At 52.4% G+C, this 15433-nt stretch overlaps 1 protein-coding gene and 1 long non-coding RNA gene across 12 annotated transcripts in view; one reads left to right on the top strand and one right to left on the bottom strand.

Moving 5' to 3' along the window:
- FAM131B (family with sequence similarity 131 member B) overlaps positions 1-15334 on the top strand; it is a 28905-nt gene extending 13571 nt beyond the window's left edge. Inside the window, exons 1-8 of one of the 11 annotated variants that reach the window (NM_001371252.1) lie at positions 6021-6158; positions 8585-8694; positions 8967-9002; positions 9105-9184; positions 9315-9408; positions 9710-9907; positions 11311-11454; positions 11712-15334. In NM_001371252.1, coding sequence (NP_001358181.1) covers positions 9321-9408; positions 9710-9907; positions 11311-11454; positions 11712-12184 — 903 coding nt within the window. In that variant the 5' untranslated portion in view covers positions 6021-6158; positions 8585-8694; positions 8967-9002; positions 9105-9184; positions 9315-9320 and the 3' untranslated portion in view covers positions 12185-15334. The other 10 variants (XM_047421075.1, NM_001031690.3, NM_001371251.1 and 7 more) reach the window with 10 other exon arrangements.
- Positions 4469-7028, bottom strand: FAM131B-AS1 (FAM131B antisense RNA 1). The gene is made up of 3 exons (NR_183342.1): positions 6677-7028; positions 5477-5544; positions 4469-4833 (listed from the first exon to the last, which is right to left on the bottom strand). It is a non-coding gene; the product is annotated as an FAM131B antisense RNA 1 (long non-coding RNA).

Below are 15433 nucleotides of genomic sequence, written 5' to 3'. Positions count from 1 at the left end.
CCAGGAATCTGAGAGGTAGGCTGTCAGCTGTGCCTGGTGATAGAGAAGTCTGACAGGTAGTAATAGAGCCTCAACCATCAGGCTGTGGTTCAGAGGCAGAAGCTGGGGAGGATGGCTTGTAAGCACAAGGCAGGAGCTCTCTCCTAGAGGAATGTGCATACAGGTGAGGGCTAAAGGGTCCCAGCAGGGGAGACAGGGAGGCTTCAGAGGTGTGATATGACATCTGTTGCCCCTCTCCCCTGAGTTCATAAATACTAGACAGGCAGGCATCGGAGACAATCAGGACAAGCCTTCCAGTTCCTGGTTCTCATTGGTTCTCCATGGAGGAAGGAATATAAAACTGGCAGATAGGCCTACTGAGGCTGGAACAAACAACTGCCTTGTATTCTTTATTTGATCTTTCCCTCTCTTTGTCAGTGCTCTGGGATTGGCTTGACCTTTAAAAATCCCATCTGGTTCTTCTCTCTGGGATTTATGAACTCCATTTTTTACTACCCACCTGGCCTCTGACTCATGGTTGCCCAGACTCTATGCCCTGCCTCCTTGGTCCTGGCATCCTGCCTGGTCGCTGCTGCTTGTGGCCTGGTCATGGTGAGGACACCCTGAGGTGCTGTGTGTGCTTGGGACCTGACCAGGAAGCAGCAGGAAAGCGCTGACATTCTTCCAGGCTCTCTGGCAGATATGCAGGCGCGATCTGCTGGCTTGGCCTTTCTTATCAGAATGTTTGGATGGAACCCCTAAATCTGCAGTAGGGGTTGCAGGCTTTCCCACAAATGTGCTTCCCAAAGAAAACACAGGGCAAATGCATCCCCTTGGTCATCTGAAGCATAGGCTCTATGACAGTCACCAAAGAAGCAGTTGTCTGGGCATTCTCTTCTGCTGAATCCTACAGAACGTGATTTGGGGACGTTGACCTGCCCATGCAGGAGGGCTTTGGCTCATGGAGGTGTGCGCCTGGGGACTACACTAAGGAGAATGTGCCTGCCACGTTTGCCCATGCCGATAAGCTTTCTTTCTTTCTTTCTTTTTGAGATGGAGTCTTGCTCTGTTACCCAGGCTAGAGTATAGTGGCGTGATATTGGCTCACTGCAACCTCCACCTCCCGGGTTCAAGCGATTCTCCTGCCTCAGCCTCCTGAGTAGCTGGGATTACAGGTGTACACCACCATGCTCGGATAATTTTTGTATTTTTAGTAGAGACGGAGTTTCACCATATTGGTCAGGCTGGTCTCAAACTCCTGACCTCATGATCTGCCCGCCTTGGTCTCCCAGAGTACTGAAATTACAGGTGTGGGCCACCGTGCCCAGAGATAAGCTTTCTTTTCTAACTAAAAGTGGGAGTGAGCTCACCTTAGATCCCCAATATTTTACAAGATTTCAAACCTTGTCTAAAAGTCAAATGAGCATGTCCTGTGCTGGTCTCTTTCATAGTGTCCAACAGATCAGAGATTGGTAATGTGAGGGCTTTTTGTCCCCACCACCAACGCTGAAACCACAGAACTTCTGCCATGGACCCTCTCATCCTCTATAACTAACTGGCTGAGCCATCCTTCCTCAGCAAACTTGCTGTGCCCCAGCACAATGGCCAGGACCCTCATCTGTTGATTACTCTGGGAAACCAGCTGGGGATGGCAGGTAGGGGTCGGGGGAGAACTATATCGACCACTAGGACAGATTCTATGGCCACTTCCTACTATGTGGGAATACAACTTACACACTACAAACATCTGCACTCATCCATGACTTGCCTCTGAGTCTGCCCCTGTGTATGAATGGGGTCCCTTGTCAGCAACCTAATGCCCCTAAACCCCACTCTTGGTCCTCCTGTTGACTGAATATTTAGGAAATCATTCTCATTTTAAAGAAAACAGACCTCAGGCTAGGTGCATTGGCTCACACCTGTAATCCCAGTACTTTGGGAGGCCAAGGCGGGCAGATCGCCTGAGGTCAGGAGTTCGACACCAGCCTGGTCAACATGGTGAAACCCCATCTGTACTAAAAATACAAAAATTAGCCAGTCATGGTGGCGGGTGCCTGTAGTCCCAGCTACTCTAGAGACTAAGGCAGTAGAATTGCTTGAACTTGGGAGGTGGAGGTTGTAGTGAGCCGAGATCTCACCACTGCACTCCAGCCTGGGTGATAGAGTGAGACTCTGTCTCAAAAAAAAAAAAAAAAGAATACAGACCTTTGTTACTGACCCTCGTGATTTCCACCTAGTCCCCAAGACTATTCTTACCAATGTTTTCCAGCATCAGCACTCTCACTTCTGGCCTTTAGCAAATAGGGTATTTGAGAACCACTAGGAGTGCCCCAAAGCTGACTGATCTTCAGGGCTGCCTGAAGATAGATACTCTAACACCATACAAGGACATTGATAAGTAGGGACTAAGACACTTATCATCAGTATTTTATGAAAGCACCAAAGACTTATTGCTACAAATCACTCTGAAGAAAGATCATTGCTTTCCCATTTCAAAATTTAGAAATGTAGATAGATGTATTCCTCTCTTCAGTTTATGGTCCCACCTTAATTAAAAAAAGACAAGCGTGAAAGAACGTGTATCCATTCAAATGTCCTGAGTTGAGTAACTTTAGTTTTTTTAAGTGAACAAATAAAGCACTTTCTACAACATCCAGAATAGATTTTCCCTCTGAGGAGCTGAGTTTAAATGCTGGCTTTTTTGGCCAGGTGCGATGGCTCACACCTGTAATTCAAGGACTTTGGGATCCTGTGGCAGGAAGATTGCTTGAGGCCAGGAGTTCAAGATCAGCCTGGGCAATATAGTGAGACCCCCATCTACAAAAATAAAAATTAAAAAATTAGTAAGCCAGGCGTGGTGGCTCACGCCTGTAATCCTAACCTTTTGGGAGACCAAGGCGGGTGGATCTCTTGAGGCCAGGAGTTCTAGACCAGCCTGGACAACATGGTGAAATCCCACCTCTACTAAAATAGGCACATACAAAAAATTAGCCGAGGGTTGGGGCACATGTCTGTAGTTCCATCTGCTTGGGAGGCAGAGGCAGGAGGATCACTTGAGCCCAGGAGCTCGAGGCTGCAGTGAGCTTTGATCATGCCATTGCTCTCCGGCTGGGTAAGCGTGAGACCCTGTCTCAAAAACAAAACAAAACAAAATGCCAAACAAAAAAGTGCTAGCTTTTTCTCTTTCCAACTGGGAAATCTTAGGGAAAAGGAAGTTAATTGAATTATCAGCCCCAGTTCTCTCAACTGCAATGCAAGAAGAATATCTTTCTTAGAGGTTTGGAAGAATAGACTGAAAACTCTATTCTTTAAATCAATTGTATATTGATATTTGCACTTTAAAGTGAGTTTTATTTTTTTCTCTATCTCTCTCATTCTGACTCTCAATAAATGATCTTGCCTCCTTCTTGTCAGAGAAAGTAGATGCCGTCAGATGGGAATCCCTCATTCTCCTGACACCAAACATGCAGCCCACTGGCATCTGCCCCGTCTTCCCTGCTGCTGGAAGAAGAGCTGGGCTCCTCCTGTACAGTCTCATCCCCCTCCCTGAGCTCTGCTCCCATCCCTCCAGGTGGTTTTAGGAATTTACATTCAATATTAATTAATCTTCCCCTCTCTTGTACTTTGAGCTTCCCTTTCTCAATTGAATCTTTTCATAGACCTTTAACTTTGATCTAATATATCCCAATAAAATAAAAGGAACACTTGATTAAGTTGTGTTTTGGAGCCATCTCTCCATTTGTGGGGATCAGTGTGAAGCTTTGGTACCTTCTTTCAATCCTGCAGGTACCACCGAAGTACCTACAATTATTCCTGGGGACCCCAGCTTCAAAATGGGATAAGTGTCTTGCCTGATCATTTTATTTGGGGGTTAAGCCCCTGCAGAATTAGAGAACCCCCCCGCCAAGTATGTATTTAAAGTCCAGAAGTTCTTAAACTTTTTTTGTGCCCTGGACCTCTTTGGCAAGGAGACTGGGACAATGGCCTTAACTAGTGAGAAGTAGCAGAATCCTTGTATAAGAAGACCTATAGGGAGCAGGAAGGAAGCTGGCCAGGAATATGCCTAGAATATTTTACTTTTTTTGTGTGGGTAGTGGGGAGGGACTGGAAATACCTTCAAGACAGAATGCAAGATGGGACTGAGTCTCCAAGACCTGGAATCCCTCATGTTAAATCATTTGGATAAATGCAGCCTTATATAGTTGTGTTAAGGAGACCAAGGGGAGAGGTTTGCATCCAAGTTGGAACCACAGTAAGAGATACGTAGTCATATATAAATATATGTATTACTCAGGGAGAGCCATAAGGAGACAGAAGTTTCAGGTGGGAAGGCAAGAGCATAATGGCCACGTGGTCTGTTCCTCCTTACCTGGCCAGTCCCCTGTCAGCGTTTTCTCTGCTCAAACAATAGGGGTGTGTGGGCATTGCTAGAATAATGGAAGCTGTTTGTTCTTTTTTTTTTTTTTAATCATCTCTCCATCTTCTTTCCTTTGCGACTGGACAGTATATTCCATGAAAGCAGAAACTATTTGATACTTCTTTTATATAACCAATAATAGTAGATATGAAAAAAGAAAATGCTTTCTAATTCTCTCCACTATTGAAATAGGGTATCAGACCCTGCCACGAACTACACTAAACGATTAAAATCTAAGCAGACCTGCAACTGATTATTATCTCATTCCTTCCCGCGGTTTTATAGATGTAGATTTGGCTTATTTCTTCATGCACATACACCGAAGATGGATTCTGTCACCATAATCTCATCTCCTCAATCTGCAATTCAGTTGTTAGTGTCTTCTTCTTGCACATCTTCATCTGCCACCCCATGGGATGTAGCTCTCCATTCATAATCTAAAGGTTAGAAAGTTGCATCCATAAGACTTAGCCTCCCTGTTAGGAGCCCACACCAGGGACCCCTGGCCCATTGCCTTCTCTCTCTGCAACCTCGGAGAGACCTAAAAGTGGGCGAGGTGCAGTCAGAGCCTGGATGGGCACTTGCTTCTGTGAATGCCCACCTGCCCACTCTCTCACACTTTGGGCTTTCTGGGTACACCTTAGACAAAAGGGTCTCCTTGCCCTTTCTCATGCATCTTTTCTGGACTCCACTTCTTACCTGCTGTAACCACAGTGCTCATTTAACCCTTGCAACTTAGACCTTCATCTCCTCCCCATGGGGCTTGAGGTATCTACCTGGCCCAGTCCCACTAGCCAGAGGCCAATCTTTCTCTCTCTTTGCTGCTTCGGGACCGCCTTGCTTTCATTTGTCCGAGAAGATCACGTCTCAGAAAAGTTAAACTGGATTCAAGACGATGTCTCCTAGCCAGCCTCGGGTCCTGACATTGTTGTTAGTCTACTGCGAATGAACTGTCCTCCTCATATTCTCCAATCCCCAACCAGGCCTGGAGGTCAACTATCTGCACATCCCCACACCCACCCCTGAATGTCCAGCGAGCACAGAGAAGTGGACTACACGATTCACTTGCAAAGACTTCACCTTCTGTTTGGATGGACAAAATAGCGCACTCGAAACAACAGAGCCCAAAGCTGTGTCCAATCACGTTCCTGTGTGTGTCCCAGATGCGGCCCCAGGAGGAAAACAAGTGTTTGCGGAATTTGGTGGCCAAAGGCCCTTGGGCCTGGCTTTATTCTCACCACCACCCCACTTTCTCTCAGGGCATCCCCTGACCCCGGCCCGCAAAATCCATCAACCAGAACCTCGGGGTAGGCCCTGGGTTCGTGCCTCGGCTCCTGAAACCCAAGCCGGGGTTCTCCAGGAGAGAGCCCCGGGAGCGGGGCTTGGCACGGGCGGGAGGAGGGGGGCGGCGACGGCGGCCCCAGATCCCCGAGGGAGCGCCCCGGCACGGCCGGAGCAGGGGCGGGGAGGCGCGGGGCGCAGCCAATCCCCGGGCCGCCCCCTCCCCGGCCGCGGCGAGCCGAGCCGGGGCGGGGGAGCCAGGCGGCGGCGGCGGCGGCGGCGGCGGCGGCGACGGAGCTGCCGTGGGGAGGGATGGAGAGGGGAGGGGGGAGCGGAGCCGAGCGGAGACAGCCGCGGCGCTGCAGAGCGGCTGGGGCGGCGGCGCGGCTCCCGGTGCTCCCCCCGGCGCGCGCCCCGAGTCGGTGAGGGCCCGGCTCTGCGGCCCCCGGAGCCATGGGCTGCATCGGCTCCCGGACTGTGGGTGGGTACCGCGGCCGGGCGGGGGCAGGGCTGGGCCCCCCGGGCCGCCCTCCGACCCCCTCCCCCATCCCTCTCCTCGCGCCTCCGGGCGCCCCGCTCCGCACCCGCCTTGCCCTGCTAGCTCCTTCACTTTCCTTCCGTCCGCCCGCGGTCCCTCTGTCCCTCCTTCCTGCCCGCTCTCGTCTTGCGCCTCCGGGGCTGCCATCCCGCTCGGCTCGCTTCCTTCTCCCCGTCGCCCTCCCGCAGGCGCGGTCCTCTCCATCCTCTCCATCGCCCTCCTCTCCTCTGCCTCTCGGCCCGACGCTCGGTCCCCTCATCCCTGCCCCTCCAGGCCATCCGCCTCTGCTCCGCCGTCCCCAGCGCCTCCTCGCATCCCCCACTCCGGAGCAGCCCCCCGCGAAGGACCCTCGGCCTCCGCGCCAGCCCCGAGTTTCTTTCGCACGCCCCCCACGCCACCCCCCGCCGCCGCCTCCATCTGGCTCGGGTGCTTTGCCCCATCTCTCTCTCCCTCTCCGTTGCCTTTTACTGTCGTTCCTGCCTCCTCCGATTCGCTTTGTTCACGTGCGTTTTCCCTCTGGGGCGGGGGCGGGATGAGCCCGGGTTCCACGCCCGGAGGGACAGGGCCAGGGCCGGGTGGAGGGAAGGGGCTGGGGGACGCGGGGAGGAGATGGGGGCTTCGAGGCGCTGGGAGGGGTCGGGAGCCCGCGGCCCGGGAGGGTGGGGCCGGCCCTGCCTCGGCGGCCGGGGACCCGCCTGCACCTGTCAGCGGGGGCCGGCGGGGCGGGGCCGGCTCTTTATTTACCTTTGACGCGGGGAGGGAAGAGAGGCGCCTCCTAATCCATCTTCTCCCTCCAGCTTCTGCCTGGCTACCGCCCCTGACCCCCACCCAGGCACCCACTCCACTCTCGCCGCTCAGCGAATTCATCCGGCCCTCTCCCACCCCCTCCCCCATTCTTCCCCTTTCCAACTCCCAATTTCTCCCGCCTACACCTCCCGGTGACCTCAGGCTGAGAGAATAATTCGTATTATTATTACAAACAAACTCACTCTCCAGAAGCCTGATTTCCCTGAGACCCGGTTTATTTCCATGGATACCCCCTCCTCCTCTGCTTTCACCCCTTCTCCGCGGCTCTCTCCCTCCCCGCTGCCCCCCACAGCTCTGACTCAGCTCTCCGTCTCTCACAAAGGCCACCTCCCGCTCCCCTCTCCCCCCGCACCCCGCCCTCCCCTGTCTCCCTTCTCCTCAGGCTCTTCTCCACCTGCCCCATTCCTGCTGTGTCCGGAGGGCCATCTTTCCTCTTTTCCCCCAGTCACCACCCCGCGGAGCCCCAGGGGACAGCAGGCCAACTTTGGAGGGTCCTCCCTCCTCAGTCCGGTTCACCACAAGCCCCTTCCTTTCCCCCAGCCCTGCTGATGTGCTGAATGCCTCCTCGTGCCCAGCCCCATTCAATGCTCCCCTTCCCAAAAATGGAGCCGACCCCTAAACTCACAATTGTAAAACCTCATGAGTATAAAGGGCCTGTACGGTCAGATGGTTCAGGCAGCCATCTGCTGCTTGAATAGTCCCTTTATGAAGACCCAAGCAGTTCTTCCGCAAGACTCTCCGCGGCACCATCCTGCCCTCAGTCCAGGAGTCTCCCTCCACCAGGAGCTCTGGCCCGGCTGTAACAAGGACCCTCCTTCCCCTGAGTCCTGCAGTTTCCCACTCAGCCCTCAGACCCTGTCCACCCCTCCCACCATCTTCTGTCTTCTCTCTGACTTGAATTCCTATTTTCTTAATTCCTATTTTAAAAAGTTCTCTTTTCTCCTCCTGCTCACCAGCTTCCCTCCACTTTAATCCATCACTTCTCTCCCCACAGTCAGGTGAAATGCCTCCAGCTCACCCTTGGTTTCTCTGCTCACTGTTTTTGGGAGGACACACCCAACTCCTTGCTATCCAACTCCTGCCTCGATTCCCAGGAAGTCCTCTTCCAGTCAGTCAGACTCATGGACTCTTAGGAAGGGCCCACCGGGGGAGACACATCCCTTCCACCCTAAGCATAGAGAAAAGTTCCTCATAGAGCAGCTCTGCCCTTATCTGTAGACTTGTAATAGAGAAAAAGCCCAGCTCCCATACAGAAACCCTCCAAGAGTCCTCAGGACGGAATAATTGGTTTTCTGATAAAACCCAACCTCTGACCCCTCCACATAAACAACAACAAATAAGGCCATACATCACTTTTTCTGAGTGCACTATTCTGGGTTGAGCTAAAACTGAATATTTGGGCTCAGCATTACTACTTGTCTCCCCTAGAATTTGGAGAGTGCAGGGATATAAGAGGAAATGGGCAGCTGGGGTAAGGAAGGGGTGTGAAGGGCTGGCCCCAGGGTGTCGCCTCGGCTGCACAGGGAGGTGAGGGCCGGCGGCTAACCTTCTGGCCCCCTCAGGGAATGAGGTGATTGCAGTGGATTGGAAGGGCCTGAAGGATGTCGATCAAATCAACATGGACAGCACCAGCTCACTGCACGGGAGCAGCCTCCATCGGCCATCGACTGAGGTGAGACCTCACTCAGCCACCCCAAGTCTCTGGCTGCCTGCACTTCCTCAATTCCAAGGCAACAACCCAAACACTCCTTCAGACTGACACTTCTACAGAACATTTCTCACAACACATGCCAAGCAGTCCACATGGAGAACCCAGTTAGCGGCATCAACCTCAGGAAAGCCCTCCCCACATCCCGCACTCCTGGAAGGCCCTCTGAGGAAGGGGGCTTCCTTGCATTCCTGCGAGTGACTGGGATGCCCATTCCCTTTCCTCTCTCCTCACAGCAAACTCGAACTGATTTCTCCTGGGACGGCATCAACGTGAGTGCAGCTGCCCCCAGACCTCCCCATCCTCCCGAACTCCTCCTCCTCATCTTCTCCCTTGCACCTTCCAACCAGCACGGTATTCCCTGGCTCCAATAGGCACTGTGAGCACTCACGTTCTCAACCTGTGCCCCAGTTTTCCAGAGCACTGGGGATATATCCCTCCTTGGGACTCTTGGGTATAGTAGCTTTTCTTATCATCTGCCCTAGCTCGAATGCTTTTTCCTGGAAACCATGAACCTCCTCCATGTATAAAGCACGCCCGTACCTTCTTATTCCTCTGCCCTTCCTCCCACATTCCCATCCCAGCTCTCCATGGAGGACACCACTTCCATTCTTCCGAAGCTTAAGCGAAACTCTAACGCCTATGGCATTGGGGCCCTGGCCAAGTCATCATTCTCAGGTGAGACTCCTGATGTAAGAATGCCTTCAGACAAAATAATGCTGACAGACTCCTTGGCTCAGTCTCCCTGCTCCTTCGAGGTTGATGAAGACCCTCATCCCCACCCCCTGACCTATTCACCCTTCTGTCAAGCCTCCCATCCTCCAGGCCATTCCCTCCACTACCCCATCTATGGAGTCCTTAGGGGAGCCTGGCCCAGTGGGATGGAGCCTCATGGGGCTGGGGTGGGAGGAACTGGGAGGGTCTGGTTATGGGTATTGTGTGATATTCTGGAGGATGTGGGAAATGTCTGGCCCCATAGGGATCTCACGGAGCATGAAGGACCATGTGACAAAGCCCACAGCCATGGGGCAAGGCCGGGTGGCCCACATGATTGAGTGGCAGGGCTGGGGGAAGACACCAGCTGTTCAGCCACAACACAGCCATGAGTCCGTGCGCAGGGATACGGATGCCTACTCCGACCTCAGCGATGGCGAGAAGGAGGCACGTTTTCTAGCAGGTACAGGTACCCTAAAGCCTCAAGAGACACATTTGCAGGATGGCCAGGGACCGACCCTCCAACCTGATCCCCTGTGGCAGGATTAGCTCCATCCATACTTTGACCGTAGATTCACATTTCCCAAACAGCTCTAAGTATTTTGATGTGGTAATTCAAATAAGTGCCCTCAAACATATTTTTATAATCATCTCAGAAAATGCGTGTAATTAGATGGGATTTGTGGGTCCACCCATCCCAGATGCCTTCTCTCCTCATCACGGGACTATCCAAACCTGAACTCCCTCAAGTGCAGGGAAAAAAATGGGGAGACCTTGGTCTTTGAAAGAAAGAAAGGCCTTGGGGATCTCTTTTAGCCTTTGCCCTTTAGCATTTCGAGTCATGAATTTGCCTACTAGACTCATTACTTGTGACAACCACTAGAAGATTAAGGGAACTGTGTGAGAGACGGGAGGCCTACAGAAGAGGTTTAGTTCCAGGAAAGTAGTGTAGGTCTGATAACAGGCATGCAGTGTGCCTACAAGAGTGGCCAAGCTGTAGTGCAGGTCTAAATAAGATGCCTAGAAAGGGATAGGTCTGGAAGAGAAAGGAAGTATTGAGTTGGTGGTATGGGTGGGAGGAGAAATATCAGTGAACAGGGTGACAAACATGTAGGGTGGGGGGCAGGAGCAGTACCAGCTTCAACACGCTCATGGATTTGACTAGAATAGGGATCCCCAGGTCTACCCATCCCCTTTTCCTTCCAATCCCTTGAATTTCAGTTTTATATTATGGTGGACCCACAAGCCCACGATGCTCTCTTGGGGGTTCTCTGTTGATCTTGAAATCTACTCTCTAGACTGCAATTCCTAAAAACCTCCAAAGATAAATATCTGGAAATCTCGAATTTGAATCTCTTAGGATATCTCATCAGAAGACCCCTAACTCTTTCCCCTAGGAATCCTAAATCTGATTTTTTAGGAAGTCCCCTACAATTCTCCCTTCTCTGGGGACATACACAAAGGCTGTGCTGTCCAATACATTAGCCACTGGCCTCATGTGGTTATTGAGAACTTGAAATGTGGCTCTTCTGAATGGAGATGTGCTTATAAGTATAAAATACCAGCTGGATCTCAAAGGCTTCATATAAATAAAAGAATGTAAAATATCTCATTAATAACTTTTATTTTGATTATATGTTGAGATGAAAATCTTTTTATATATCGAATTAAATAAGATCTATTATTTCAATTGATTTAACCTGTTTCTTTTTAATTTTAAATGTGGCTACTGGAAAATTTAAAATGATATAAGTGGCTTGCATTATATTTCTACTGAACAGTGCTGCACTAAGATGTTTTCCTACCCCACGCACATGTCTAAGGATTCCCTGAGGTATTTTGTGGTTGTTGCATTTCTTCCCCCAGGCGTCATGGAGCAGTTTGCTATCTCTGAGGCCACACTCATGGCCTGGTCTTCCATGGATGGTGAGGACATGAGTGTGAACTCCACCCAGGAGCCATTGGGCTGCAACTACAGTGACAACTACCAGGAACTGATGGACAGTCAGGGTGAGAGATGTTCCAGAATCCAAACTCTGGAGCCTATGAGGCCTCCCCAACTATCTCAGCTGCCTCCACTCAGCTCCGTTCTTTTAAGACTTCCTTGTCCATCTCAGCTTTCCCATTGTCCTCCCTACTCACTGTGCACTCTGTGTCTTACTGCCAGTTCTCTGTGCTGTCTCTTAGCTGTCTCTTGTGCTGTCTGTGCTGTCATTCCTGCCCTTGACATTCTGTGGCCCCACTGACCTCCATGATTCTTTTTCCAGATGCCCTGGCTCAAGCACCCATGGATGGATGGCCTCACTCTTACGTGTCCCAGGGTATGTACTGTCTGGGGTCGTCAGATGCCTGGGAAGCCAGCGATCAGTCCCTCATTGCCTCTCCGGCCACAGGATCCTATCTTGGGCCTGCATTTGATGACTCACAACCCAGCTTGCATGAAATGGGACCTTCCCAACCAGCTTCAGGATACTCTGCTCTGGAGCCTCCACCTTTGCTGGGGGGAGACACTGACTGGGCTCCGGGGGTAGGCGCAGTGGACCTGGCAAGGGGCCCTGCTGAGGAGGAGAAGAGGCCATTGGCACCTGAGGAGGAAGAGGATGCGGGATGCCGGGACCTGGAGTCACTTTCCCCACGAGAAGACCCTGAGATGTCTACCGCTCTCAGCCGGAAGGTGTCTGACGTCACATCCTCAGGTGTGCAGTCCTTTGATGAGGAGGAAGGCGAGGCCAACAACTAGTTTCCTCCCCCAATGCCCTGCCTTCCACTCCCACCTGAGGGCCATGGCTGTGACCCATACCCTCCCTCCCCCCAGCAGTACAGCTGAAACTGGGCAGACAACATTGGGGAACCCAGGAGCTTCCAGTCCTCTCCTGGAAATGGAGGACCAGGATGGGATTTTATCCAGGCTTACACTCTAGAAACCCACAGGCCTGGGAACTGAGACCTGGGCAACTAGATGGCCGTGAGCTTGGTGTGGCTGTGGAGAAGGACCTGGGCTGTGGGCTTCTGGGTCTGTGCCGACAAAGCCTCCAGTGTGTGCACCCTGAGGACGGGGGCAGCGCAGCTGTGCTCAAGACTGGATCTCAGTTCTTCACGCCCCGATTTCGTCTTCCAGGAGCTGTAACTCTGCTGTCTGAATGCCTCCTTTCTCCATTTCACTCTTGCTTTTCCCAACTCTGTTTTCTCTGGCTGTGGCCCCAGCTCATCCCTACTGAGAGAACAGACCTCAGGGGCTGTTGGACATGGCTGGACAGGCGCAGGGGAGGCTGCCTGAAGGGCACGTCCATGGGGAGGGTGGAGAGGCTGCCTCAGCAGGTCATTTGGCTTCTGAGATCAGGAGTCGAGGAGGAGGTGGATGTGGCAGCTGAGATCTACAGGGGGCACGGATGTGGTTCTTTCTATCAAGGCCTGCCCGGAGACAAGAGAGTCACTGAGGAGACTAAGAACAAACACAGCCCCTTGCTCTGGGATCTTTAATATCCCATGGCTAAAAGGAAGATCCTAAGGATCTGGGAAAAGACCCAGCCAGGGCTGGCTGCTCCAGCTCTTGCTTCCCTTTCAGCTTTCTTCCATCCCTGCTCCGGGAGCCTGAGGAGGGTGTGGGGACACCCATCTTGGATACACCAACGCAGGATGCAGGTGTCGCCAACAGCAGGGGGAGCATGAGGGCTGTCTCCCCTTATTCACCCCTGTCCTCTGAAGCTGTTTACACTTTTCTCTTTGCCTTTTCTACATTTTTATAACTTCTTGGGCACTCAGGGTTGAGTGGAGTGGAGGGAGGAGTCCGGTGCTGTCACTCCCTCAGCCAGGCAGGGTTGCAGCTGAGGGCCAGGGTGGGCACTCGGCACTTTCTGCCCCTTCTTCAGCTCCTCCCAGGACTCCCAAACAGCCTCACAGCTGTCCTCCCTGCCTCCCCAGGCCTCCTACCAGAGGAAGAGAGGAAAATCAGCGGATTCTTCCTTCCAGGATGGTGTATGGTGAGGCACAAGCTTGCCCTCCCACACTTGGCATCCATGCTGGTGGGGACTGAGCAGCATATGCGCCCCAGCACTACCGTGAGAGCACAGGCAGAGGATGGGCGGAGCAAAGCAGCGGTGCTGTGGGGTTGGAGAGCACTTGGCCCTGCCACTGCCCAGGTAGCCCCTCCCCAGCCCTTGGCACAGGCAGAGTTCGGGTAGGAGAGAGAGGCCTAAGAGGCTCACTGCCCTATCTCCTTCTTTCCTCACGCCCTTCCAAGGCTCCGGCTCCCAGGCCTGTGTCCTACCCACACTCTGTCAGGAGTCCTACCACTTGCATCCTCTGCTGGAAGGGAGCACTGTTGTCCTCTCCTGGCCCTGGGCACAAACTTTGCCCTCACCCCCAGGCCCCAGAACTTATTATTTTGGAGTGAGAAGGTTGAGAGTTGGGGTGTTTCTGTCCATCTATGGTCCTGTCCCGCCATCAAGTTCATACTCTCTTACTCACACTTCTGGGATGCAAGCAGGGCAGGGGGTTCTGTGTCTTCCATGGAAGGGGGACAATGGTTATCCTGAGGTTGGTTTTTGGAGGAAACATGGGCGTAGGCAAGGTGAACCAAGGCAGGTGCAGTCACCTAACCGAATGCTGCCTGTACAGGGGAAGAGTCCTCTTGTGCTTGCTAACGTGTGCTGACTCCATGTCCCAGGACCTCATTTCCAGGAGCTCTGAGAGGTGGTCTAGCATGCCCGCCCTGGCAGCTATTCCCCACCCGTCTCCTGCTGCAGGCTCTGGGGTTTTGCATGTTCATGTGACCTTCCTTCCATGGGGTCCCTGGTTCCTCACCTTCTCCAATGTGTGCTATTCCCACATCACCTCTTCCTGTCGTCTCATCCTCTCAGTGCCCATATCATACCCCCAGACCACGGTGGACAGCTCACCTAGTGAGTGCGTTCATTCATTACAGTTCGTTTTTGCTCAGGCCCGGGGGAGTTAGGAAAGGTAGACCACAGCAGCTTTCGTTCCTCCTTCCCTTTCCCAAGGAAGCCAAATGGTCCCTGACAAAAGATGACTAAAGATCTGAAGGACTCTAGCAGGGTTCATACATGAACCTGCTTTCCCCAGGGTGCTGGCATATTGCTGCAGATGGAAGTCAGGTGGGGGTCTGTCTTCTGCAAGGAGCTCCTACTCGCTCTGAAGAGGGAGACTGAGGAGCTGGCCTGGGACCATCTTAGGACTCTTCTGGTGCTGGGGGCAGGGTGCATGGGGGTTGCTTATCGTCTATTTCAGGGGGTGGGGAGGGGCATGTGCAGGAAGAGGCTGTTTCGGGGTGGGAAAGGGTTGCTTTTCCTTTGGGGTTAAGGCTGTGCAGCACGTTTTACAGCAGTCCTGGAACAGGGCTGTTTTTATATTCTTGTGAATGAAACTGCTCTTGCTAAATGATTTTCTTTTTTTGGAGGGGGGGTGCACTTTCATTTTCAATTGACTTTATTAAATGAAAATCCAAATCTTCCACTCCTCCCCCTCCATTGTCCCCTCCCCCACCACACACCTTCCTTCTTGTCCTTGTGTTGAAGAGGGTATCTTGGGGAATGAGTTTATTATCTTCTCCACGACCTCACCTATACATCCCACACACCATCCTCCAGGTCTGGGAAATATCCATTTTTCTGGCCAGTCTTAGCATGTTTTCTTAATGTCACATTCCCACGCCAGGCCCAAGAGAGATTCTATGACATATATTATAGAGAGAATTCTATATCAATATATATAAATATTAGAGATTATGTACACAAGGGCATGGGCTCAAATGCCCACTGCCAGTCCCCCACCCAGGCTTCAGCATCTCTCTTGGCCTGGGGAAGTGGGAGGGATGTGATGCTGGAGAAGGCTACAGGCTGTGTTCAATGACACTAAACAGAATGTGGTGGCATCCTCTGACTGTGAGTGTCTTATTTGGGGGATGGAGGAGACTGGGAACAGGGGAGGCAAAGGAGGAGAATGTCGGAGCGGGGGCACAATGGTAGAATTA

This window comes from Homo sapiens, chromosome 7 (genome assembly GCF_000001405.40).
Source record: "Homo sapiens chromosome 7, GRCh38.p14 Primary Assembly".
Taxonomy (NCBI): domain Eukaryota; kingdom Metazoa; phylum Chordata; class Mammalia; order Primates; family Hominidae; genus Homo; species Homo sapiens.
The sequence above is the reverse complement of the archived record's forward strand: the minus strand, read 5'-3'. Positions and strand labels throughout refer to the sequence as shown.